General features: G+C 42.7%; 1 long non-coding RNA gene across 1 annotated transcript, besides 3 other annotated features; it reads left to right on the top strand.

Annotated features, from left to right (window-relative positions):
- The first annotated feature begins 10,310 nt into the window (after positions 1-10,310).
- LINC01989 (long intergenic non-protein coding RNA 1989) lies at positions 10,311-24,567 on the top strand. The gene is made up of 6 exons (NR_110748.1): positions 10,311-10,362; positions 11,845-11,977; positions 14,570-14,852; positions 14,970-15,230; positions 19,220-19,383; positions 24,384-24,567. It is a non-coding gene; the product is annotated as a long intergenic non-protein coding RNA 1989 (long non-coding RNA).
- Positions 10,457-10,664: a silencer, noted in NCBI's record as "fragment chr17:32510298-32510505 (GRCh37/hg19 assembly coordinates)". NCBI's record gives its function as "represses an EF-1alpha promoter that drives an FKBP-Casp9 reporter gene in an ReSE screen in K562 erythroleukemia cells {active_cell/tissue: K562}" and the evidence as "EXISTENCE:reporter gene assay evidence [ECO:0000049][PMID:32094911]".
- Positions 15,269-15,797: an enhancer, noted in NCBI's record as "OCT4-NANOG hESC enhancer chr17:32505165-32505693 (GRCh37/hg19 assembly coordinates)". NCBI's record gives its function as "activates a minimal SCP1, AML or CMV promoter by ChIP-STARR-seq in primed H9 embryonic stem cells {active_cell/tissue: H9 hESC(primed)}" and the evidence as "EXISTENCE:reporter gene assay evidence [ECO:0000049][PMID:30033119]".
- Positions 22,415-22,524: a silencer, noted in NCBI's record as "silent region_8431". NCBI's record gives its function as "represses an Ori minimal core promoter by ATAC-STARR-seq in GM12878 lymphoblastoid cells {active_cell/tissue: GM12878}" and the evidence as "EXISTENCE:reporter gene assay evidence [ECO:0000049][PMID:35858748]".
- Positions 24,568-26,136: the final 1,569 nt, after the last annotated feature.

Here is a 26,136-nt window from a genome sequence, read left to right as displayed (position 1 = left end):
TCATACATTTAGTTTGTTTCAACTCTTCTTTATTATCATAAGCAGCACTGCAATGCATCTTTTTTTACATAATTCTTTGTATCTCCAGTTATTTCCTTAGAGATAAGTTCTAGATGTAAATTTATCAGGCCAATTGGTATAGATATTTTATGGCTTTATATATATATATGCCAGATTATCTTTCAGAAAGAAAGTACTAAACAATAATCTCATCATTTTATCTCACCCTCACCAATATTGGATGGTATCATAAAAAATGCCATTGATGTATGAAAAATACTATCTCATTACCGTCCTTATTAGTATTTATTTACTAACTGAGATGAAAGAATTTCATGAGTTTGTTAGACATTTTGTGTCTTTGTAGGATAGGATGTATGCTTTTATACTTTGTACATATTTTTAAGAGCATTTATTTTATTATTAATATTAATAATGTTGTTTAGAAAGAGCTCTTTATGGCCCAGCATGATGCCTCACGCCTGTAATCCCTGCACTTTGGGAGGCCGAGGCGGGCAGATCACCAGAGGTCAGGAGTTCAAGACCAGCCTGACCAGCAGAGTGAAACCCCGTCTCTACTAAAAATACAAAATTAGCCGGGCATGGTGGTGCATGCCTGTGATCCCAGCTACTCCGGAGGCTGAGGAAGGAGAATCGCTTGAAACCGGGAGGCGGGGGTTGCAGTGAGCTGAATTTGCCCCGTTGTACTCCAGCCTGGGCAACAAGAGTGCGACTCCGTCTCAAAAAGAAAAAAAAAAAAAAGAGCTCTTTAGGATTAAAGCGCAGTAATCTCTTGTCATAAGTAATCCTTCATTCCAATCTTTAATTTACATTTTAGTTTTACTTAAAACACTTTATCTTTGTAGTGGTTATTTTTGTTTTTGTTTTGTAGAGACGGAGTCTCGCTCTGTCGCCAGGCTGGAGTGCAATGGCTCGATCTCGGCTCACTGCAACCCCCGCCTCCCGGGTTCAAACGATTCTCCTGCCTCAGCCTCCGGAGTAGCTGGGATTACAGGCGCCCGCCGCCATGCCAAGCTAATTTCTTTTGTATTTTAGTAGAGATGGGGTTTCGCCATGTTGCCCAAGCTGGTCTCAAACTCCTGATCTCAAGTGATCCACCTGCCTCAGCCTCCCAAAGTGCTGGAATTACAGGCATGAGCCACCACCCCTGGCCTGGACATTTTTTAGTATATGGTTTAAAGAAGGTATTTTTTTTTCCTTCCAACAAATTACTAAATTTGTCCTAACACTGTTGTTGGTGAATTCCCTTTTTTCTTGCTGATCCCAAATTTCATCTTAATCGTATACTTAGTTCTTAAATCTACCAAGCTATTTTTCTTGGTTTTCCATTGCGTTCCATGGATCTATATTCCTAGTCTTGTGGCAACACAACACTTTTTACATTATTGTAGGTTTATATGTTTTAATATTTGTTTCCTTACATAAAAATTTAAAAAACTGTTTTAAATGTTTTATTGAAGTGTAATATACATAGGAAGAGTCCACATTTCATAAGTGAATGGCCCAATAAATTTTCACAGACTGACTGTGTCAGCCTAAGCCAAATCAGGAAATACAGCATTACCAGCACCCCAGAAGCACCATCCTACCATCAAACCATCAACCTCTTCCAGCTGATGCCCACTCCAAGGGTGACGATGTCTTGACTTTGATCAAGATTGGTTTTGCCTATTGTTGGACTTTATGTAATAAGAACCATATGGCTTCTCCTTTTGTATTTGTCTTCTTCCATTCAACTTTATGTTTTTGAGAGTCATCCATATTGTTGAGTATAGTTTTAAATTGTTCATGCCCATTGCTGTATAGTATTTCTTTGTGTAAATATGCCATGATTGATTCTTTCATTCTACTATTGATTTGTATTTGGGTAGTTTCCAAGCTTGGAACTACTACAAATAATGCTGCTATGAATGTTCTAGTACCTTATGTGAACATATGCATGCAATTCATTGGTGAGCATATGTATGCACTTCTGTTCAATCTATTCCTGGGAGTAGAATTACTGGGTCACAGAGTATGTATATATTCTTTATAGCAGATACTCACAGATAGCTTTCCAGAGTGGTTGTAGTAATTTACAATCCCATTAGCAGTATTTAAGATGTCCAGTTGCCTACACCCTTACCCACACTTAGTACTTTCTGTCTTATTTATTTAGCTATTCTAGTGTGAGTGATACTGAGGTTTGAATTTCCATTTTCATGATGACTCATCAGGCCATACACATTTTTGTAGCTTTATTGGTCATTTTTATATCTATGTAACTGTATCTTCAAGTTTTTTGCCTTCTTTTTATTGAGTTGCTTTAAAAAAAAACTGACTACTAGGAGATCTTCATATAGTTGGGATTTGTGTTCATTGTTAGATATGTATGTTGTAAATATCATCTTTTACTCTTTGGGTTGCCTTTTCACTCTTTTGTGTCCTTTGATGACACCATTAACGTTTTAATACAATCTAATACATTACTTTTTTCTCTTACGGTTGCATTTTTGGTAACATGTTTAAGAAATCTTTGTCGTCTCCAATATCATAATCATGTTTTCTTATATAAGCTTAATGTTTCTTATCTTCAGATTTAGATGTGCAATCCACTTGCAATTGATTTTTTTAATTATAGTTTAAGTTCTAGGGTACATGTGCACAACGTGCAGGTTTGTTACATATGTATACATGTGCCATGCTGGTGTGCTGCACCCATTAACTCGTCATTTACATTAGGTATATCTCCTAATGCTATCAATTGATTTTTGTGTATGATGTGAGGTAGAAGGATAAAATATATCCTTTCATATGGGTATCCAACTGACCCAGAACCATTGATTAAGATGCCTGTCTTTTCTCCACTGCCTAAGAGATGCACACTGTATGAATGAATATTACACAGCAATGAGCATGAATGATTTAAAACTATATTTGACGATATGGATGAATCTCACTAACAAGGTTGAATGGAGGAAGACACATACAAAAGGGCAGCAAATATGATTTTTTTGTATGTCACAAATCAGGCAGCCATGTATGTGGAAGACTGTAACCACTGTATTTTTTTTTTTTTTTTTGAGACAGAGTCTCACTCTGTCACCCAGGATGGAGTGCAGTGGTGCAGTCACAGCTCACTGCAGCCTCAACCTCCTGGGCTCAAGCAATTCTCCCACTTCAGCCTCTGGAGTAGCTGGGACTACAGGCACATGCCACCACGCCTGAGCTAATTGTTGTGTTTTTTTTGTTTGTTTTTGTTTTTGTTTTGTAGATATAGAACCTTGACATGTTTCTCAGGCTGGTCTGAAACTCCTGGGGCTCAAGCGATCCACCTGCCTCCACCTCTCAAAGTGCTGAGATTACAGGTATGGGCCTCCATGCCCAGTCTCTATTCTATCTCATTTATCAATTTAACTATTCTTGTGCAAATACCAAAAATGTCTTAATTACTAAAACTTTAAAATAGATCTTACTCACTGGTAATATAAGCCCTGTAGCTTTATTCTTCTGCAAGGTTGCCTTGGCTATTCCTGGGTCTTTGGATTTTTATATAAATTTTAGTATAAGATTATCAATTACCACACAAATACCTGCTGTGATTTTTTATTGAGATTGTGCTCGTCTGTTTTTGATCTTCCCAATTAACTTCATTCTGTCAAGAATTAATAAAAAAATCCCCTTGGATTTTTGATTCAGATTTTATTAATTTCATAATTTAATAAGATTTTATTAATTTCATAATTAATTTCATAATTGTCATATATTGAATTATTTTTTATTATTTCATGACTGTGGACATTGATTTCTTCACCAGATCATCAGAAACTGTTGGAGAAGTTCTTGATCTATAATTCTTTTGTTCTCTGCATAATTTTATGGAATCTGTGGTCAAATAGCATTTAATATGTGTTTCCTGGATATACCTCATAAACTCTTGCAAAATGATCTTATCAAATACTTTTCTCGAATATTCTGGTGTGGGTGCTCCTTGGCTCTTCTCTTCATTCAAGTATTTATTTGAGTATTTATTAATTCACCCAGGAGAGCCACTTGCATAGTCTAGTCTTAGGTATTGATACATCTGTTAAATATTTAGGTACCTTCCTTTTCTTTAGAAAGCTTTCACTCCAATAAAGACAATGAATGCAAAACCAACTATCTAAAATATTGTCTGTTAAGTGCTAGAGATTTAGAGCTATGGGAAGGCCTAACTCTAGCTGAGAACCCACCGTGAGGTTGATAATTTTAGTGAAGTTGGAAGTTGAGCTACGTCTTGACACATGAGCAGGCATAGAGTCCACGACTCGGAGAGAAAATAAGGAGCATTCTGGGTGAGAAGAAAAAAGACATGAAAGCATGAAAATTCATTCATCTCTGAGGAATATGGATATAAGTTCAGTAAAGCTGAGAAATAACAGGCTGGAATGAGAGACAGGTGAAGCTGAACATATTTAGGTAAAGGAGGTAAAGGTCGGATTATGAATGAGTTTTTTTTTTTTTTTTTTGAGACGGAATCTCGCTGTCACCAGGCTGGAGTGCAGTGGTGTGATCTTGGCTCACTGCAACCTCCACCTCCTGGGTTCAAGCGATTCTCCTGCCTCAGCCTCCAGAGTAGCTGAGACTACAGGCACGCGCCACCACACCTGGTTAATTTGTGTATTTTTAGTAGACACGGGGCTTCACCGTGTTGGCCAGGATGGTCTCGATCTCTTGGCCTCGTGATCTGCCCATCTCGGCCTCCCAAAGTCCTAGGATTACAGGCATGAGCCACCGTGCCCAGCCCATAAATGGCTTTTTAATATGAGCTGGTGATTTTTTTTTTTTAACTTTACTATTCAAAGTGATTAATTTAAGAGAGTGTCGGCCGGGCACGGTGGCTCACGCCTGTAATTGTAGCACTTTGGGAGGCCAAGGAGGGCAGATCATGAGGTCAGGAGATCGAGACTTTCATGCGCGTCTGTGTGAAGAGACCACCAAACAGGCTTTGTGTGAGCAACATGGCTGTTTATTTCACCTGGGTGCAGGTGGGCTGAGTCAGCGAAGGGAGATAGGGGTGGGGCCGTTTTATAGGATTTGGGAAGGTAATGGAAAATTACAGTCAAAGGGGGTTGTTCTCTGGTGGGCAGGGGCAGGGGTCACAAGGTGCTCAGTGGGGGAGCTTCTGAGCCAGGAGTAGGAAATTCACAGGGTTAATCACTCAGTTAAGGTGGGGCAGGAACAAATCACAATGGTGGAATGTCATCAGTTAAGGCGGGGCAGGGCCTTTCCACTTCTTTTGTGATTCTTCAGTTACTTCAGGCCATCTGGGTGTATATGTGCAAGTCACAGGGGATGCGTTGGCTTGGCTTGGGCTCAGAGGCCTGACATTCCTGCCTTCTTATATTAATAAGAAAAATAAAACAAAATACTGTTGAAGTGTTGGGGCGGCGAAAATTTTTGGGGGTGGTATGGAGAGAGAATGGGCGATGTTTCTCAGGGCTGCTTCAAGCGGGATTAGGGGCGGCGTGGGAACCTAGAGTGGGAGAGATTAAGCTGAAGGGAGGTCTTGTGGTAAGGGGTGATATTTTGGGGTTGTTAGAAGAAACATTTGTCGTACAGAATGATTGGTGATGGCCTGGATACGGTTTTGTATGAATTGAAAAACTAAATGGAATAAGAGAAGGAGAAAAACAGGTATAAAAGGTCTAAGAATTGGGAGGACCTAGGACATCTGATTAGAGAGTGCCTAAGGAGATTCAGCATAGTCCTGCCAGCAAAGATTATTTATTTACTTCAAGAGTTTAGAGTGGCAGTTTGGGGATAGCAGCAGGAGATATCTGTGATGGCTTGGAGAAACAGTGTAAACCAGCAGTATAAACAAGAGCAGGGCATGTATGAGTAGTTGAGAATGGTGAATAGGAGTATGACTAGACAAAAGATAGTAGGGATGACAAGTTTTTTTGGGGGCACAGTCTAAGTTGGTCTGGTGTCAAATGAGACTGGGGCCTAATAAAAAGGAGCGTCTATACAGGAGCTTAAATGGGCTCCTGTACACCTTGTAGCATTCTGAGGACAAGCCTGAATTCTGAGAAGAGAAAGTGGTAAAAGTATTGTCCAGTCCTTTTTAAGTTGTTGGCTGAGCTTGGTGAGATGTGTTTTTAAAAGACCCTTTAGTCCGTTCTACTTTTCTTGAGGACCGTAAGGGATATAAAGGTTTCACTGAATACTAAGAGCCTGAAAAACTGCTTGGCTGATTTGACTAATAAAGGCTGGTCTGTTATCAGACTGTATAGAGATGGGAAGGCCAAACTGAGGAATTATGTCTGACAGAAGGGAAGAAATTACTGTGGTGGCCTTCTCAGACCCTGTAGGAAAGGCCTTTACTTATTCAGTGAAAGTGTCTATTTAGACTAAGAGGTCTAATAGTTTAGTTTCCTGACTCGGGACATGTTGAGTAAAGCTAATTTGCCAGTCCTGGGTGGGGGCAAATCCTCGAGCTTGATGTGTAGGGCAGGGAGGGGGCGTGAATAATCCCTGAGGAGGAGTAGAATAGCAAATGGAACACTGAGAAGTTATTTCCTTGAGGATAGATTTCCACGACGGAAAGGAAATGAGAGGTTCTGAGAGGCGGGCTAGTGGCTTGTACTATAGCATAGCCTGCCTTTGCTGGTGTGTGGCGATTAGGCCTGGTGGAACTGCCATCAATAAATCAAGCGTGATCAGGGTGAGGAATAGGAAAGAAGGAAATACGGGGAAATGGGGTGAATATCAGGTGGATCAGAGAGATACAGTCATGGGGATCAGGTGTGGTATCAAGAATAATGTGGGAGGCCAGATTGAAGTCTGGGCCAGGAACAATGGTAATTGTGGGACTTAAAGAGTGAGTACAGCTGAAGGAGCCAGGGAGCAGAAAGTATATGCGTCAGGTATGAGGAAGAAAATAGATTTTGGAAGTTATGAGAAATGTAGAGAGTGAGTTGAGCATAGTTTTTGATTTTTAGGGCCTCTAACAGTATTAAAGCAGTGGCAGCTGCTGCACGCAGACATGAGGGCTAGGCTAAAACAGTAAGGTCAAGTTGTTTGGACAGAAAGGCTACACGGTGTGGTCCTGGCTCTTGTGTAAGAATTCTGACCGCACTAACCATGCCTAGGAAGGAAAGGAGTTGTTCTTTTGTAAGGGATTGAGGTTTGGGAGATTAATCAGACACGATCAGCAGGGAGAGCACATGTGTTTTTGTGAGAATTATGCCGAGATAGGTAACAGATGAGGATGAAATTTGGGCTTGACTGAAGTAATGGGGGCTGTCTGTGAAGCCTTGCGGCAGTACAGCCCAGGTAATTTGCTGAGCCTAATGGGTGTCAGGGTCAGTCTAAGTGAAGGCAAAGAGAGGCTGGGATGAAGGGTGCAAAGGAATAGTAAAGAAAGCATGTTTGAGATCCAGAACAGAATAATGGGTAGTAGAGGGAGGTATTGAGGATAGGAGAGTATATGGGTTTGGCACCATGGAGTGGATAGGCAAAACAATTTGGTTGATAAGGCGCAGATTCTGAACTAACTTGTAAGCCTTGTCTGGTTTTAGGACAGGTAAAATGGGGGAATGGTAAGGAGAGTTTATAGGTTTTAGAAGCCCATGCTGTAGCAGGCGAGTGATAACAGGCTTTAATCCTTTTAAAGCGTGCTGAGGGATTGGATATTGGCGTTGAGTGGGGTAAGGGTGATTAGGTTTTAATGGGATGGTAATGGGCATGTGATCAGTTGCCAGGGAAGGAGTAGAGATGTCCCATACTTGTGGGTTAAGGTAGGGGGATATGAGAGGAAGACGCGAAGGAGGCTTTGGGTTGGGGAGAAGGACGGCAATGAGATGTGGCTGTAGTCCAGGAATCGTCAGGGAAGCAGATAATTTAGTTAAACTGTCTCGGCCTAATAAGGGAACTGGGCAGGTGGGGACAACTAAAAAGGAGTGCTTAAAGGAGTATTGCCTAAGTTGGCACTAGAGTTGGGGAGTTTTAAGAGGTTTAGAAGCCTGGCTGTCAATACCCACAACAGTTATGGAGGCAAGGGAAACAGGCCCTTGAAAAGAAGGTAATGTGGAGTGGGTAGCCTCCGTATTGATTAAGAAGGGGACGGGTTTACCTTCCACTGTGAGAGTTACCCGAAGCTCGGCGTCTGTGATGGTCTAGGGGGCTTCCGAGGTGATTGGGCAGTGTCAGTCTTCAGCCGCTAAGCCAAGAAGATCTGGGAAGGAGTCAGTCAGAGAGCCTTGGGCCAGAGTTCCAGGGGCTCTGGGAGTGGCTGCCAGGTGAGTTGAACAGTCTGATTTTCAGTGGGGTCCCACACAGATGGGACGCGGCTTAGGAGGAATCCCAGGCTGCGGGCATTCCTTGGCCCAGTGGCCAGATTTCCCGCACATGTAGCAAGCTCCTGGGGGAGGAGGTTCTGGAGGAATGCCTGGCTGCTGCGGTTCAGGCGTTTGGAAGTTCTTGTGTGCTGGAGATGTGGCTGGGGTTTGTCTCACAGTGGAGGCAAGGAATTGTAACTTTTTTCTGTTATTGTACACCTTGAAGGTGAGGTTAATTAAGTCCTGTTGTGGGGTTTGAGGGCCAGATTCCAATTTTTGGAGTTTTATTTAATGTCGGGAGCAGATTTGGGTAATAAAATGTATATTGAGAATAAGATGGCCTTTTGACCTTTTAGGGTCTAGGGCTGTAAAGCGTCTCAGCGTTGCTGCCAAACGAGCAATGAACTGGGCTGGATTTTTATATTTGATGAAAAAGCCTAAACGCTATCTGATTTGGGATAAAGAAAAAGGAGCATTAACCTTGACTATGCCTTTGGCTCCAGCCACCTTTTTAAGAGTAAATTGCTGGGCAGGTGGGGGAGGGCTAGTCACAGAACGAAACTGTAAGCCGGACCAGGTGTGAGGAGGGGAGGTGATAAAAAGATTATAGGGTGGAGGAGCAGAGGCTGAGGAAGAATTGGGACCTAGCTCGGCCTGGCGAGGAGCAGCCTGGGGAGGAAGGGAGAGGTCAGATGGGTCTGTAAAAAAGGAAGATTAGAAAGACTCAGCTATGCTTGGGGTTGGTACTGAGGGGACAGGTGGGAGGGAAAGAAGGAAGATTTGGGACGAGTTGCACTGGGCACAGAGACTAGGAAGGGACTGATGTGTAAAAGAATGCCTGGACGTCAGGCACCTCAGACCGTTTGCCTATTTTACGACAGGAATTATTTGGATTTTGCAGGATGGAAAAATTCAAAGTGCCATTTTCTGGCTATTTGGAACTATTGACGAGTTTGTATTGGGGTCAAGCGGCATTGCAGAAGAAAATAAGGCATTTAGGTTTTAGGCCAGGTGTGAGTTGAAGAGGTTTTAAGTTTTTGAGAACACAGGCCAAGGGAGTAGAAGGAGGAATGGAGGGTGGAAGGTTGCCTATAGTGAAGGAAGCAAGCCTAGAGAAAAGAGAGAGTAGAGAAACGGAGGGAAGGGGTTCGGGGGTTCTTACCTTCCAGAAAAGTGGGAAAAGGGGTTGGGGCGCAGAGATAAGAGGTCGGGGCATGGAAATAAGGGATGGGACTCAGAAATAAGGGGTCGGGGCATGGAAATAAGGGGTCGGGGCACAGAAATAAGCGGTCGGGGCACAGAGATACGAGGTTGGGGTGCAGAAATAAGTGATTGGGGATTCTTGCCCCCTAGAAAAGCAGGACTTGCCACTAAGGGTGAAAGAGAAGGGGTTGAGGGGTACTTGCCCCTGCCCCAGGAAAGTGGGACTTGCCGCTAAGGGTGAAGGAGAAGGGGTTGAGGGGTACTTGCCCCTGCCCCAGGAAAGCAGAAAAGGGGTAGAGACAAGGAGAGAAGGGGTTGAAGTACTTGCCCCTTCCCCAGAAAAGCGGGACTTGCCGCTAAGGGTGAAGGACCAAGGCAGGCATCCCTGCGTGGTCTGACACCCTTGAAACGTGGGTGTATAATCAGAGAGGTGTCCCTGCAGTTATTAAACACCAAGGGAAGGCTGCCTTCCCAGTCCGTGACCGGCACTGGAGTTTTGGGTCCACGGATAAAACATGTCTCCTTTGTCTCTCCCAGAAAATGAAAGGAATTGAAATTAAGACAAGGGAGAGATTGAAGAGTGGAAAGGAGAAAGTGGTTGAGGAACAGTGAGAGAAGTTGGAGAAGAAAGTAAGAAGAGGCCGCTTACCTGATTTAAAATTGGTGAGATGTTCCTTGGGCTGGTGGGTCTGAGGACCTGAGGTCGTAGGTGGATCTTTCTCACGGAGCAAAGAACAGGAGGACAGGGGATTGATCTCCCAAGGGAGGTCCCCCGATCCGAGTCACGGCACCAAATTTCATACGCGTCCGTGTGAAGAGACCACCAAACAGGCTTTGTGTGAGCAACATGGCTGTTTATTTCATTGGGTGCAGGCGGGCTGAGTCCGAAAAGAGAGTCAGCAAAGGGAGATAGGGGTGGGGCCGTTTTATAGGATTTGGGAAGGTAATGGAAAATTACAGTCAAAGGGGGTTGTTCTTTGGTGGGCAGGGGCAGGGGTCTCAAGGTGCTCAGTGGGGGAGCTTCTGAGCCAGGAGTAGGAAATTCACAGGGTTAATCACTCAGTTAAGGTGGGGCAGGAACAAATCACAATGGTGGAATGTCATCAGTTAAGGCGGGGCAGGGCCTTTTCACTTCTTTTGTGATTCTTCAGTTACTTCAGGCCATCTGGGCGTATACGTGCAAGTCACAGGGGATGCGATGGCTTGGCTTGGGCTCAGAGGCCTGACAGAGACCATCCCGGCCAACACGGTGAAACCCCGTCTCTCCTAAAAATACAAAAAATTAGCCGGGCGTGGTGGTGGGCGCCTGTGGTCCCAGCTACTTGGGAGGCTGAGGCAGGAGAATGGCATGAACCTGGGAGGCAGAGCTTGCAGTGAGCCGAGATCGCACCACTGCACTCCAGCCTGGGCGACAGAGCGAGACTCCGTCTCAAAAAAAAAAAAAAAAAGAGAGAGTGTCATGATCAGATTTGCATTTGAAAAATATTACTCTAATAGCACAGAGGAGGGAGGACTATAGTGTGCAGAGGCAGTTAGGAGGTTACTGCTATAGTGCAGCTAAGAGATAAGAGCCTGGACGAAGCCATTGGGAATGCAGGTGGTGATTGAAATTATTCCAGAGGTGAAATCCCTGTGACTTGGTGATTGACTGGGTGCAGGTAGGTGGAGAGGGCATCCTGGATGTCATGGGATGTGACTTGCTAAGCTCCAAATTGCTGCCTCTGGGTCATTGGGTTAAACAGAGCAGCTATTCTGAAAGTATGCCAGCATGTACCATTGATTGGCAGCTGTGTGAAAAGGCACAGCAAAATGCTGCTTTATTCTGTTTCTCAGAATAACCACATTCTTGCCACGTGATTTCATTGTACAGGATTTGTAGGTTCTTTTGAGTCTTATCCATCTGTGTATTTACTGCTGGTCTCCTGGGAAGAGAGAAGACAGGTTATTTCAGAAATACAAACCCAAAGCAAAAACATTCCCTCCACGCGGCTGCTCTGAAATTAGATTAGTTTGTCAGATTAGATTGGAAAGGAATCTTAAATCATTTAGTACAAACTGCTCATTTTGTAGATGGGGAGGTTACATCCAAGAGAGGAAAAATGATTTGTTATCCAGTAAGGGGAACCATGGGCTCTATCTGAAAATAGTGACAAACAGTAGATCAGCATGGTTAAAAGTAAGGAATCAGATAGCTCTGGGCTCTGCTGCTTACCAGATGTGCGATCTGGAAAGTGTTATTTAAGTTTGTCTGAACACCAGTGTACTTGACTACAAAATGGAGTTGTTGCGAGAATTAAATAAAAAGATTGTGTGTTCACAGGGATGATGCATCTGAGAGCTCAATGCATGTCGGTGATGATGAAGGTGAAGATGCTGTGAGTGATGATGAGGAGGAGGAGGAGGATGTAATTGAAGGAGCTTGGGCTTTGCCATCAGTACAGCTGAGTTAAAATGTCTGTTACTAGTTGTTTGACCTTGTTATAATGATCTAACTTCTATAACTATCAATTTAATTATACCTAACATAGAGATAAGAATCTTGATCTTGCACTATTTTGAGAATATAGCAAAATAAGATGTATATTTAAAGTATCTAGCACAGTGCCTGGCACAAGGGAAATGGTCAACTAAAATTTACTTTCCATCTCTGAATCCCGACTTCTTTTTCATCTCCTTCTCCTTCCCTTTCTCTCTCTTCTTCTTCTTCATCCTTCTCTAATGAAATTATTTTTATTAATACACTTTATTTTTTTAGGGCAGTTTTGGTTTCACAGCAAAATTGAGTGGAACACAGACTTCTCATATAACCCCTGCCCCACCTGCACAGCCTCCCCATTATCAACATCCCCCACCAGAGAGGCACATTTTTTACAACTGAGGAACCTACATTGACACATCATTATCACCCAAAGTTTATGTTAGGGCTCACTGTTGACATTGTCCATTCTATGTGTTTAGACAAATGTATAATGACATGTATCTATGATTATAGTATCATGCAGAATAGATTTGCTGCCCTGAAACTCCTCTGTAATCTGCCAATTCATCTCTCCCTCCTACTAATCCTTGAAAACCACTGATCTTCTTACTGTCTTCATAGGTTTGCCTTTTCCAGAATATCGTATAGTTGGAATCATACAGGATGTAGCCTCTTCAGACTGGTTTCTTTCACTTAGTAATGTGCATTTACATTTTCTCCAAGTCTGTTCATGGCTCATTTATTTTTAGTGCTGAATAGTATTCCATTGTCTCGTGTATGGTAGTTTATTTATTCACTCACTGACTAAAGGACATCTTGGTTGCTTCCAAGTTTTGGCAATTATGAATAAAGCCCTATAAATAAAAGTGAGCAAGATTTTGTAGATATAAGTTTTCAACTCCTTTGGGTAAATACCAAGGAGCATGATTGCTGTATCTCATAGTTAGAGTATATTAAGTTTTGTAAAAAGCCACCAAACTGTCTTCCAAAGCGGCTGTACCATTTTGCATCAATACCAACAATGAATGACAGTTCCTGTTGCTTCACATTCTAGCCAGAATTTGTTGGTGTTCTGCATTTTGGTCATTCTAATAAGTGTGCAGTGTATTGCACTGTTGTTTTGATTGTTTTAATTTGTGTTTCTCTCATGGCATATGATGTGGAACGTCTTTTTATGTAATTATTTGCCATCTGAAAATCTTTGATGGGATTTCTGTTAAGGTCTTTGTATCATTTTTTTAAGAATCAGGTTTGTTTTCTTTTTGTTGAGTTTTAAGTGTTCTTTGTATATTTCGGATAAGAGTTCTTTATCAAATAGATATGCCTCTTGCAATTATTTTCTTCAGGATGTGGCCAGGTAACATCACAGTGTTCTCTTGACAGGGTCTCTTGCAGAGCAAAACTTTTTAATTTTACTGAAGTCCAACTTAACAATTCTTTTTTCTGGATTATGCCTTTGGTGTTGTATCTAAAATTATCTCTGAACTCAAGGTCATCTAGATTTTCTCCTATTATCATCTAGGAGTTTTCTCATTTTGCATATTTTATACTTAGGTCTGTGATCCATTTTCAGTTAATTTTGGGTAAAGGTGTAAGGTCTGTGTCTACATTCGTGAGGTTTTTTTTTTTTTTTCTTGCATGTGCATGTTCAGTTGTTCCAGCTGTATTTGTTGAAAAGACTTTTTTTTCCTCCATTTTATTGCTTTTGCTCCGTTGTCAAAGATCAGCAGGCTATTATTTTTGTAGGTCTATTTCCGGGCCCTCTATTCTGTTCCATGGATCCATTTGTCTCTTTCTTCCCTAGTACCATGCAGTCTTGATTATTGTAGCTTGATAGTAAGTCTTAAAATCAGGTAGCATCTCCAACTTTGTTCTCCTTCAATATTGTACAATCTTATTTTTTATCTTTATGCTATATTGTCATTTATTCATTATCTGGATATCTAAAAATATGTATTACCATCATTACTCCTAAAGCCACTCTTCTCCATTCCACATGAACTTGTTCTCTACAATGTATGTCCACCTCTCTTGTAGCTTGTAGATGATGCCAGACACTGCCACTCCACTCAGAGAATCCCTGGGTATCAACTTTGGGACAAGGACACTTCCCCTAGGGAAATCCTCACCCTTCCAGATACCGGAGGCAGTAAATGCGGTCTCCCACCTGGTTCTCACATCTCCATCAAGACAGCATTTGGCAGATATAATTAATAATTTATTGTTTGGAGACATTTGCTAGTTTCCTTGCTTCAGCAATTAAAACAATATTTTATCTTTTTGGTGGTTGTTTTTGGTGGAGTCCCAGGAATGAGAGCGGAATGAAACGCTTCTGAACCCCTCTTCCTGAGCCAGGCTCATTTCCTTCAGATACTAAAAAAAAAACTAAATAGCCCTATACTCAGGGATCTTTTGTAAAAGCGGCAGGTCTTCTGCCTCTAATGCAGACAGACCAGCTTGACAGCTTACTGTGGCTGAACACGACTGAAAATCAGGTCAGGGATAGTCAACCGAGGAGAACAAAAAGGTCGGTAACCAGTAACGAAAATGTCCCTGTTGGTTGTAGATGGAGGCGCATCACCCAACTGGCAAGTACCCGCCTAAGGGGGGGTCCATCTTTTCCGGAACTGCAACATCCCATCTGTTCACTTTTATGCCTTAATATCCCCAAAGTCACTCTTGCCAAACGCTACAGAGCACATATTTATTGTTTTAATTAAAGTGAATAGGTTTGAGGATTTTAAAAGAGAACTTTGAAGCTATCCAAGGGGGTTCCAAAATCAGAGAAGGGAAAGCTTACACCAGAATGCATCAGAGTGACATAGCTCATCCCAGGCTCCCTGATTTAGGTATGAAAAGAGCACTGAGGTTATCTCAAAGGACAGTTCAGGGAGGGAGGAATGAAAATGGGTCTGGAAGGGATACCAACTTGCCAACAAATTTTTTTTTTTTTTTTTTTTTGGAAGGAGAAAGGGAGCAAAGAAGAAGAAGAAAGGAAAAACTGAAAAAAGAAACATTGAGGCTCATGTCTTGTTTTGTTTCTCAAAAGATTCCATTAGACTCAATATGTCATTCTAAGTGCACCTGGATATAGCGCAGATTTAGATAACTGTCTCCTCCCCTTCTGACCTTTATTACGACTACAAAAATTCTGTGTGTGAGGGATAAATAATGCATGCTCTCAGCCAAGAAGGGAAAGAAGACCCAAGGAAAAATTGCAGAATAGAGTAAGCAACGTATCTTTCTCTAGCATATTTTTTATTTCTGACCTACTTCCTCCTACCTCCAACTCCACCCCTTGCCCTCTCTTCTCCAACAATCAGGACCTGAAAACCTGGAAGCAGAGTGCTGGAGAGCATAGGTTTGGGAGTCATACCTGCATTTAAAATACTTACAGCGATGACATGTCAATTGTGTGATCCTAGGCGAGTCCCTTCTCTTCTCTCTGCCTTGATCTTTGTAAAATGAGGATACCCATCTTAGCGTGCTCGGTATCAAAGGCTTTGGAAGGACAATAAATGAAGATGTATGCAAATGAACCTTCTCAACTGCTCCATAGGGAGCAGACAGAAAAGAGAAAGGAAGTCTATTCTGGTCAGTTGTGGGCCTGATGCATTAGGGGGTGAGCTGTAGTGGGAGGAGTCACTTCTCAGTGAGCCTAGAATTACTTCATAGAGGTAGGAGAGAGCCCAGAAACCTACTCAGATGCGCCAGTCTGGCTTCAGTGGCAGCAAAGGGAACAAAGGCTTGACAGTCACCTGTGGGTGAGGGGCTTGTTTGGTTTTTGTTTGTTTATTTGTTTGTTTTACCATGTTGAGAAGTCAGAAACCCTCTGCTTCCTGCAGTTATAACAGAAACAGATGAAGAGACAGCATTGAACTCAACTCAGTTCCCAAATTGAAATCAAAGATGAGTCTCACACAACAATAATTTGTCTGTCTACATGTATGTTTGCCTCTTATTCATGCCTCTATTTTGCTGAGGACTGTTTTCCAGCTGGTGGTTTAAATAAGGCCCCAAACACTTGACCCTCAAACGTTTGGATTAGAAAATGAAGTGGAAAAGGAAATGACTGTAGGGCAAAAAATTCAGCTTGGCTACTTAATGCCTGTGGGAGGAAGTTGTAGGCAATAACAGAAATAAAGTTTGGGGATTGTTTGCTCATTTGTATATTGTCCCTGTTTCCCCAGTTACATGCCTAATTAAGAGCTGGACAGTTAGGCAAACAGTTTAAATGTATGATAAGGGAGTTTGGGATTAATACCCAGTATAAGAAGAGGCACATCTGGTCCTTAGAAAATCGTGGGAAGAAGTGTCCTTGCAGTGTGTTTTTTGGAGCCCAAGCCTCTGCTGCTCTGCGGGCATTTCTGAAACTTTCTGATACTGCTTCAACTTCCTGTGTCTTTTCACTCTATCTCTAGAACATTAAATGTCGGAGATGGAAGAGATCTCCATGGAGGCAAAATCCAAGGTCTGAGGAAGGGAATGAGCTGCTTGACAACACAGGAGTGGGCACCCCAGGGCTGGACAGGCCTTCAGATGCCCAGTTGCTCTGTACCCTCTTCTCCCATCTGCCGCCACCAGCGCCCCGACCTTGGCTGTCTCCCATCTAGTCCCAAACATTTTCAACACTTCTGCTGTCTTGGTGCCCAACTTCTCCACTCTCCTCCCCATTTTCCTCCTAGACTTTCTTTTACCCCCTTGTAAAACTAGTCTTCAGAGCCTCCATTTCCTATTAGGTTGATAGGCCTAGGTAGAAAAAGGATGTGTCTGTGTGGCTAAATAGAGCCATCTCTCATGAAGGCAGGAGCAAGCAGGTATTTCTGATTGACCTCAGTGATGGTCCTCACCACACCTGCTCTTTAGATCTCTGGGAAGATGAGAGGGTCAAGCTCCTCTGTGGACTCTCTCTTCATGCCCTGCCCATGGATGCACCAATGTAAGTTTTCTGCAGACAACAAATGGTTTGGGGCAATCACAGAAGAATCCCCTTTCTTGTTCCTGTTCCAGTTTCACTGGGTGTTTCAGAATTACAGTCTCACAAAAGGAATCCAGCTGAAAGAAGGGAGCCGAGTTGCTGTGCATAGTAGTGCTGTGGCACTGCTGGGCAAAAGGAGGCAACCAGCTTGCCAGGGTGAGGATGTTGAAAGCCTCAGTGCTGTTCCTGTAACCCAGAGAAATCCTTGACTCTGGATGCGAAGGGTAATTGGAGAATTTGCTCAGGAATTGCTTGAGGAATCTGTACAATCATCTTCTTCCATTCTTACTTCCTATTAGAGGCATTCTTGCCATTTCCATGGCAACTGGGAGGCTGCATGGGTGTCATTGAACAATTGCTTGAGGAGAGATGGGAGGGCCATCAGGTGGGGCAGGTAGGTACACAGGCTGAGAACTATAAATCTTCCCATGTTGTCCTCACCTGTGGTTTTAACAGGGCGAGCCCCAAAAGCAGATGCAGGAATGTAAGGATCATTATTCATTTTGTGACCTCAAGGCCCCAGATGCCCATCTGAAGTCATAAAGATGTGTGATGTGACTAAAGATTGGCACTAGAAAGATCCTGTGGCCCTTCTTCCTATCATAGGCTTGGTTGCCCTCTTCTCTGCCCACACTTTTCTTCCTTTGCCGCCTTCTCCAAGCTTCTGTCAGAAGGCAAGCTTAGGACCAGAGGAAAAGGCATACCTTTCTTTTGCTGGGGGATGACTAGTTTGAGGGGGATGGAAAATATAACACAGAGGTTAACAGCAATGTCTGCTTTCTGGCTATGTGATTTTGACTGTCAGTTCCTTCATTAGTAACGTAGAAATGATGATAATTCTTCCTACATAAAAAAGGCTGCCATGAGGATTAAATGGGTTCATACTTGTGTGACACTTCATGTCTGTCATGTAGATGGTCCTATAGAAGCAGGGTGACTTTATATCTGATATGTCTAGGATAGTCCTGTTTTTGCCTGTTTCTCCAGGGTAATTGTTGAATGGCTCCCTTTACATTTGCAAAGTATCTAAGGTTTGGATGCTAATTATGTTATTGCTCTGTAAATAGTGTTAGCTGTTTTACTATGGGCAGTGATCCAGTATTTTAAGACTTACGGGGTGAGATGACACAAGCTAGGAAGTGAGGTAAGCAAGAGTTTGGCTTCAGAGCGTCTGCAATCAACCCATTCAGGTTTAACTGCGTTTATCTTGGAAGAGAAAGAATACCCTGTAGCACTGAAGTTTTGCCCTTCCCCACCCACTCCCACCTCTTGGTGAAATGTCCCAAGAACCAATAAGGGGACAGCCCTACCAAGGTCCCATTCAGTGACGCATATTCAGAAGGCAAGTTTTGAGAGCCCTGCATAGGAGTTGCTTTCTTCTCTGCTACAGGTCAGGTAAGTAGGATCAGGGTGCTGGGTCACCAAAGAAGCAGCAGAGCCATGAGTTCCCAGATACACAATAACTATCTAGAGATGACCACAGATGCAAGACCTTCTTCCCTGGGAGAAGGGCTGGGGTCAATCTTGGCCGACCACTGCCACAGGGACCAACTTGCCTTTATGTTGCCAGAGTAGCAGGCTCAAAGCTCGACTGGAGGGTAGGTCCTTGTGTACTTCAGATTATGATCCATCTATTATCTATCTATCTATCTATCTATCTATCTATCTATCATTTATCTATCTATCATCTATCTATTATCTATCATCTATCTATCTATCATCTATCTATTATCTATCATCTGTCTATCATCTATCTATCTATCTATCTATCTATCTATCTATCTATCTATCTATCTATCTATCTGTCTTTACTGCCATCAATACAATGACTGCTTCTCATTCTAACACTCTAGACCCTGGAGTCAAATCCAGCTCTTCCACTAACCAGCTGTGTAACCTTGAGCAAGTTCTTATCTTTTCCACATCTCACTTTTCTCTTCTGTAAAGTGAGGATGATAACCGTATCTACCCCATGGAGTTGTTTGAGAATTTTAAGCCATTCATGCCCTACTCCTAGCATGTGTTTGGTGCACAGCGAGCACTATAGTAACTATTGATGTTGTTAACACATTATTTCCTTCCTATTATCCTTAAGAGGGAGTTCTTACCTTCTCATCCCATCTCTTTAGTTTTCTTAATATAACTCTAAATTAAAATAAAACTCTTCACTTTGTTAGGAAGAGGACCATGACTTGCTTAGGCCCGACTAACATTTGCACTCACCATTTTGTTACACAGATGGCAAACCAGGAAAACAGAGCTCAGTACAGAAGGGAGTTGGGCAGCCTCTGTTCCTGTTTGGCTCTGTCCTTGAAGAAAGTGATAAGAAGTGCACAGATTTTGGAATTAAACAGACCATGGTTTGAAGTCTGGATCTTCCAGTTGTAACCAGGTGGCATTGGGTAAATTATTTAACCTCTCAGTGCCTGAGTTTACTAATGATATAGGACTTAAGAAGAAATTATTTAGGCAGATAGTGAGGATATGGAAGTCCTTGGTAAGGTTTTCCTTTTTTAAGGAAAAGTAGCCCCAAAATCATTTTCTTTTCTAACAAACAGCAACTTGTAAAATTGAGCGGCAGACATAGACAAGCAAGCTGGAAGCTTGCATGAGTGAAGGCTACCTGGGACTAGGAATGTTCAAAATGGTGGCTCCATGTTCCCTTCTCTTTGCCAGCCATGTGTACAGTAAGGAGTAGACAACATGGCGCCAGCCAAGTGAAAAGCCCATTTGCATAAGATTAGGGTGGGGTGGCCAGTGTTCCCCACGTGCTATGTAAACATCACACCTGGTCCAACCAATCTGTGGGCCCTATGTAAATCAGACACTGCTTCCTCAAGCCTGTCTATAAAATCTGGTGCACTCAACCATGGGCCAGAATTCCCATTCAAGCAGCCCTCTCTCTCACAAGAGAGAGAGCTGTTCTCTTTTCTCTTTCTTTTGCCTATTAAATCTCCACTCCTAAACTCACTCCTTGTGTGTGCCCGTGTCCATCATCTTCTTGGCGTGAGATGATGAACCCTGGGTATTTACCCCAGACAGCTGCACCACCTGACTAATATATAATACAGGGAAAATTGCATGGTTCTTGCAGGGGTTAATGTGTGAAAAATTCCTAGCAGAATTTCTGGCATGCAGCAGTATTCCATAAATTTTGACTCCTTGTCCCCTCCTGCTATTAGATTGTAAGCTCCTTGTGGGGAAGGAGGCTGTGTTTGTTCACTATCCTACCTCTCAGCACTTAGCACAGTGCTAGTAACTGAGCAAGCAATCAGTCAGTATTCACTACACGAGTGCTGAATGAATAGATTTGTCGTGCATTACATACCTTCTCATAAATATATTAACTTTCTGCTTACTGCATCATGGCTAATCACTGCTAGAGATGAAGGCTTTGGGGATTTAATGATTTTTGAAAACTATATTCAAGGTTAAATTACGAGTCAAGCCAAGACTTTAAACTGCTGGAAGCAATTTCCTCATATTTCAACAGTTGCTCAACCTCATTTGATTTATTTATGCAAAGCCTTCGAACCCCTCCTCCTTGCATTTCCCCACATCCTGAGTACGCACATCATGGCAACATCCTTGCTGCATTTCCCTGGAAATAAAGCAAAGGCATTGAACGCAGTTTAAGGCTGAAGTGCCTCAGGCCTTGTGTTGTCAAAAGGAATTAACTAGAAGGTGAGGGGATGTTTGTCCTTGATATCACTCACTTCACTTCCTTAGTTCTGCATTTACTCACAATGTGCAAGGGATGGTAAAGGTAGATGGATTCTGAAATTGGCTTTTCTCCTGGCCTACCCACAGCTAACTCATGGACCTCATTCCTCCCTAAAACTGCATGAAGGGCTATATCTCCTGATGGGGTGGCTGGGGTGGGGTTGAAACTGCCTTTGCAAAGATTACAAGAGTGGGAGAAGTCTAGCATGGTTGACCCCATCTTCCTTCTAGCCTCACAGGCTGGGCATAGGCCAAGCTAACCATAGGAGCAATTTAGTTTATATTTAACTTTGAAGAAGCATGGATGATAATAATTCCTCCCTAAAATGAATCCCCTGCTTGCTGAGGGAATGAAATTTCCTTTGTAAGCCTAATGAAAGGCCACAAGAGTAGGATTATGGGAGGGGCCTGAATTCTGCAAAGATGTAGATGTAGCTAAAGGATTACTAGTCATTGTCTCCTAGCTTGCCTTTCTATAATCCCTTGCTGCTCAGGAGTCATGTGGCCAAAGGTCACCAGATCTGTGACTTCCTCAGTTGCTTCTATAGATAATGTCACCATTGTGGGGCCTCAGATTGCTCTTTGAAATGTTTTCAAGATTTTTGCATTCTGACAGCCAAATGACTCCACCCATATCTGGGACTCATGACTCAACTGGTCCTGTGGCCCCCACCCAGAGGCAGACTCAGCACATGAGGACTGAATCCTTATGAGTTCATCCCCAACCAATCAGCAGCATCCATTCCCTAGCCCCCTGTCCATCTAATTATCCATGAAAATCCTAGCTTCTAAGTTCCTGGGGAGATTGATTTGAGGTATAACTCCCATTCTTCTGCTTAGCTAACTCTGCATTAAACTCTTTCTCTACTGCAGTACCATGGTCTCAGTGAATTGGTTTTGTCTGTGCAGCAGGTAGAAAGAGCCCATAGGGCAATGATAGAGGTCTGCTTGTTCAAGGTTCCTTTTGTTTGTATGCCTCCTCAGCCATCTTCTTCTCATGGTCCTTGGTACTTAGGATTTCTTGGTCTCCTTGGAGGCATGTCTGATGGGATGAGAATTAATCAAACGGGGCAATTCCTTCCTGCCTGGAGTGGTCTGGGAGTTTCTTGACTTCTCTGGATTTTAAGCTTCTCCAGGGCAATGTTTTGTTTGCTTGTTTTGTGTTTTTAGTACCTAAGACTGAGCATCTGGCCAGATATAACAGCAATCATTTAGGGGGAAAACAAAACAAAACAAAACAAAAAAACGGTGGCCCTTCTCTGTGAAGGACAACCACATTTTCTTTTATGAGAGGCAGTCATTTTCCTGAGGTTGTAACAAGGACTTTGTGTGTGTGTTGTCAGGAAGAGGGATGGATACTGTTGGAGACACTTTTTGAGAAATAGCAGCTGTCTCTCTTTATTATGTAGGGACCTGAGAAGGTGTAGACCAATCTGCAAATGGATCCTGTAGATCCACACGGCCGAAAGGGAACAAGATGGTAACTATGATCCTAGAAACATTTGATGAGGGGAATAAACAAGGCAGAGAGTGGTGGCACTCACCAGGGTTCATGGACTGGAGAGAAGGGGCCAGGTAGATTGCTCAGGGAGATCTAGTTGAAGCTCAGTGTATAAACGCGTCTGGAAGGGTCTCAGCACCTGGTTCCCCTGACACAGTGTATAGACCTGAGTAACAACAGTTGAACATGTGTACTTGTGAACTAAGGGAAATATAACCGCAGCTCCCCACTGTGCGGTTATCTAGGCCAGCACCAGCATGGCCTTGGCTGTGGTGGGAAGTGTCTCTAGACCTGTATGAGATCATTCTTCCACAGTGACCTCTGGTGGTAGTTGGGGGCAATTGCACTTGGCCTTGGAGGAGATGGCCCTGATTGATATTTTAAAGCAAGCTTGTCCAGCCCGCCGCTCAGGACAGTTTTGAATGTGGCCCGACACAAATTTGTAAACTTTCTCAAAACATTATAAACATGTTTTTTCTTTTTTTCTTTTTTTTTGCTCATCAACTATCGTTAGTGTTCGTGTATTTTACGTGTGGCCCAAGACAAAGTCTTATTCCGTTGTGGACCGGGGAAGCCAAAAGATTGGGCATCCCTGTAAAGCAAGAGTGACTGACAAAGCCCTGGAGCTCTTAGATAAGTGGTGAGAATAAATACAGGGAAGATAAAATAATATCAAGAAGCAAGGAGAGAGATTCTGGACTTCATGTTGATTAGAAGAAATGGCTTGAGTGATTCATTTAATAACAACAAAAATATGTGACTGTAATTATACCCCAATTACTGAAATATCTCATACCAGTTCTAAATATTTTATTTAAATATTTTACTTATTTATTCATTTATTGAGACAGGGTCTTGCTCTATCACCCAGGCTGGAGTGTAGCAGCGTGATCACAATTCACTGCAGCCTCAAACTCCTGGGCTCAAGCAATCCTCCTTCCTCAGCCTCCTGAGGAGCTGAGACCATAGGTACATGCCACCGCGCTTGGCTAAGTTTTAAAAGTTTTTGTAGAGACAGGATCTCACCATGTTGCCCAGGCTGGTCTCAAACTCCTGGGCTCAGGCGATCCTCCTGCCTCAGCCTCCTAAAGTGCTGGATTATAGAGGTAAGCCAATGCACCCAGCTGGCAAACTTATGTCGTGTGCAACACTTTGCATATAGGTGGATTTCAGGACATGTTTGTTGAATGGAGATGATGGAATTAAGGCTCATCAAAATCCACACTGATAGAAACTTCACATACTTATCCATTTTATTTCTTACAAGCTGATAAATGTTGTTATCCTCATTCTCCCGATGAGCTGTTGAAGGACCCATCTCCAGTAGTGACTGGTGGAAACAGTATTGGAACCCAGAGTTGATAACTGAACCCCTGCCAGCCCCACTCTGTCATCTCCTCGGTCAGTTGGGATGCTGCCGGGGTGTCTGCCTCAGCCTCGGACACAGAGTGGTGAAACAGATGATTTCGATGGATATAGTTAATGGAGGCCTGGGGTCGGTGAAAGTGATTTAATTGAAACGAAGTCAAGGAAAGTTTTACAAAGGGAGAAATTAGGTGTTTTCTCCTGAGACTTATGATCTGGTGAGAGGATTATGGTACTGAAAATCCTAGCAAAGGCATCAACCAGCAATACTTGTGAGTTCCATTAGTTACAATCATCTATTACTGGGAATGGGAAGGGAGAATGGAATCAAAGAAAGTAAGTTAAAGGTGTTTGTATTGAAAGCCAGAAAAAAAAAATAAAAAAAATTAAAAAAAAAAAGGTCAGCCAGGTGGGAAAATAAAAGAGAAAAAGAAATATTTTGATAAAACTGATACATTGAGATTATTCAACTGAAATAAATGTTAAGTGTATATGGGTGATTTTGCAAGAAGTCCTGCCAAAATCACATGAGGTTAATTATTTTGACCCCCATTTTCTGCTCCCACACTTGACTGAGGACATTCCAGACTGGAAATGACACCTCTGCCCTCAGTAACATGTCTGCAGCAACTAATGATCTCTCTGGAGTGTAGCTCAAGTTCCTGGAGTGCAACTGTAACTCTAGAAGCAAATTGGCTTTGCACTAATGGCTTCAACATAATTGCTAGTAGTTTCTGGTCCATTCTGGCAAGAAACACAAAGAATGCAATTGTTAAGTACTCTTTTTCTTTTTTTTTTCTTTTCTTCTTTAAGGGCCTATGGTTCATCCTGCAATATCAGAGAATACACAACTGTTGGAAGCTCATTTGTGCAGAAGCACTAGTTAGACCAAGTCCCAGGATGGTGGGGACTTGAACTGCCTCATGCACATTGTACCCAAGAGCCTGGCCCATGAAGGTGAATCAGTGGATACTTGAATAAAAAGAAGAATATGCGCTGAAGTTTTCTTTGAGGACATTTTTTTTTCTTTCCATAGTTTTGAGCATCTCTGATGTTTTGAGATTTCTGCCAGTCTTTGAGGATGTAATGCTCAATTAGACTTGTTCTCTGTCCTCAAAGAGCTTATATAATAGTTAGTGAGCTAATTCTCCTGTTTTGAGAGACAGGAGAAAATGTTATGTTATAATGAGTCATTCAGACTCTATCTACTAGGCCTGACTTTGTTACTTTTTAAAAAGCATTCTTCCACTCCTGCTTGGATATCTCTGTATACAAGACTCAGAGACACGTATGACGCCCCTTAGGAGGGGTTCTGACGTGCAAATTTCTGAGACCCAGAAGCACCTACCTTCCATTTTCCAATGCCCCAAATTCTATGAAAACCACGAGCACATGCATTCGTTCCCATGTTCTCGGGTGCCTCGCCTATCAGTCAAGGGTCACAAGATCTGCAGGGCAGTTGCTTTCAAAATAAAATGGATGTGAAAACAGCTGAAGCCCAGCGAGCACTTGATAACTGCTTCTTTTGAAGGCAAAATAAGATTATTCTATGAGGTAACAGGCTCCTTCTGGGCTTAAGTAGGCATAGGGTTTACAGTGTAGATTCTTGTGCTATGGTTTTCCCATAAAAGAGGGAAACCTTGAAATCACAGCACTTTTGTGGTAGGGAGGATTTCAAGCAGTGCTTAATAAGGTGTACATGACCATAGCAGAGTGTCCCCCCCCATCTCAGGGAAAAGGCCCCTGAAATTAATCATGAGAATCCTCTCCTGTCCCCAGGGACCTAGATGAACCCTGACTAATGAATATTTAAATCTCACTCTTTGTCTGCTCTCACACTCAAACCCTGATTCATGACTGTATGCTTTCCATTTGGCATGGAACAGAGATCACAAGTCCACAGGGTATAGCTCCATGCCACCTGGGGCTCCTTTAGACATTAGTATTATAGTAATTAATAACGGCATCTTATCATTGCAAGCTTTTATTAGATATTTATCAATGGTTTACATACTTTAGCTCATTACATTCTCCCATCATTCCTATGAGGTGGGCACTTATTGCTCCCATTTTACAGATGAGCAAACTGAAGTTTAGGCAAGGGCAATAGCATGCTCCAAGTAACATAGCTGGTGTGGGTGGGTCCAGGATTTAAACTCAGTCATCTGGATGGCAGCACCCAAACCCTTACCCACGACACTCAGTGGCCTCACAAGGCACCTGGGTGGTGGCATGACTCAATGAACCTGACTCTTTCCGGAAGCTCATTCCTGCACCAGCAGTGGCACTATGGGCATTTCACTTGTCCTCTTGAAGCCTTAGTCTCTTTGCCTAAAATAGGCAGAATAAACTCACAGGACTGAATGAGATGTTGACTCTCAATACATGTTGATTTCCTTCTCTCCGTGGAAATCCATCTGTACAGAAAGCTGAGTGGGACATTTTAATGTCAGTGAGCTTATGGGTCACACAGACCACAAATGCATGCCTGGTTATCTTATATACGGGTGAGAATTGGGTTTACACATCAAAGCATTTGAGCACTGACATTGTTTTAATCAATGAC

Source organism: Homo sapiens, chromosome 17 (assembly GCF_000001405.40).
Source record: "Homo sapiens chromosome 17, GRCh38.p14 Primary Assembly".
In the NCBI taxonomy this organism is placed as follows: domain Eukaryota; kingdom Metazoa; phylum Chordata; class Mammalia; order Primates; family Hominidae; genus Homo; species Homo sapiens.
The sequence above is the reverse complement of the archived record's forward strand: the minus strand, read 5'-3'. Positions and strand labels throughout refer to the sequence as shown.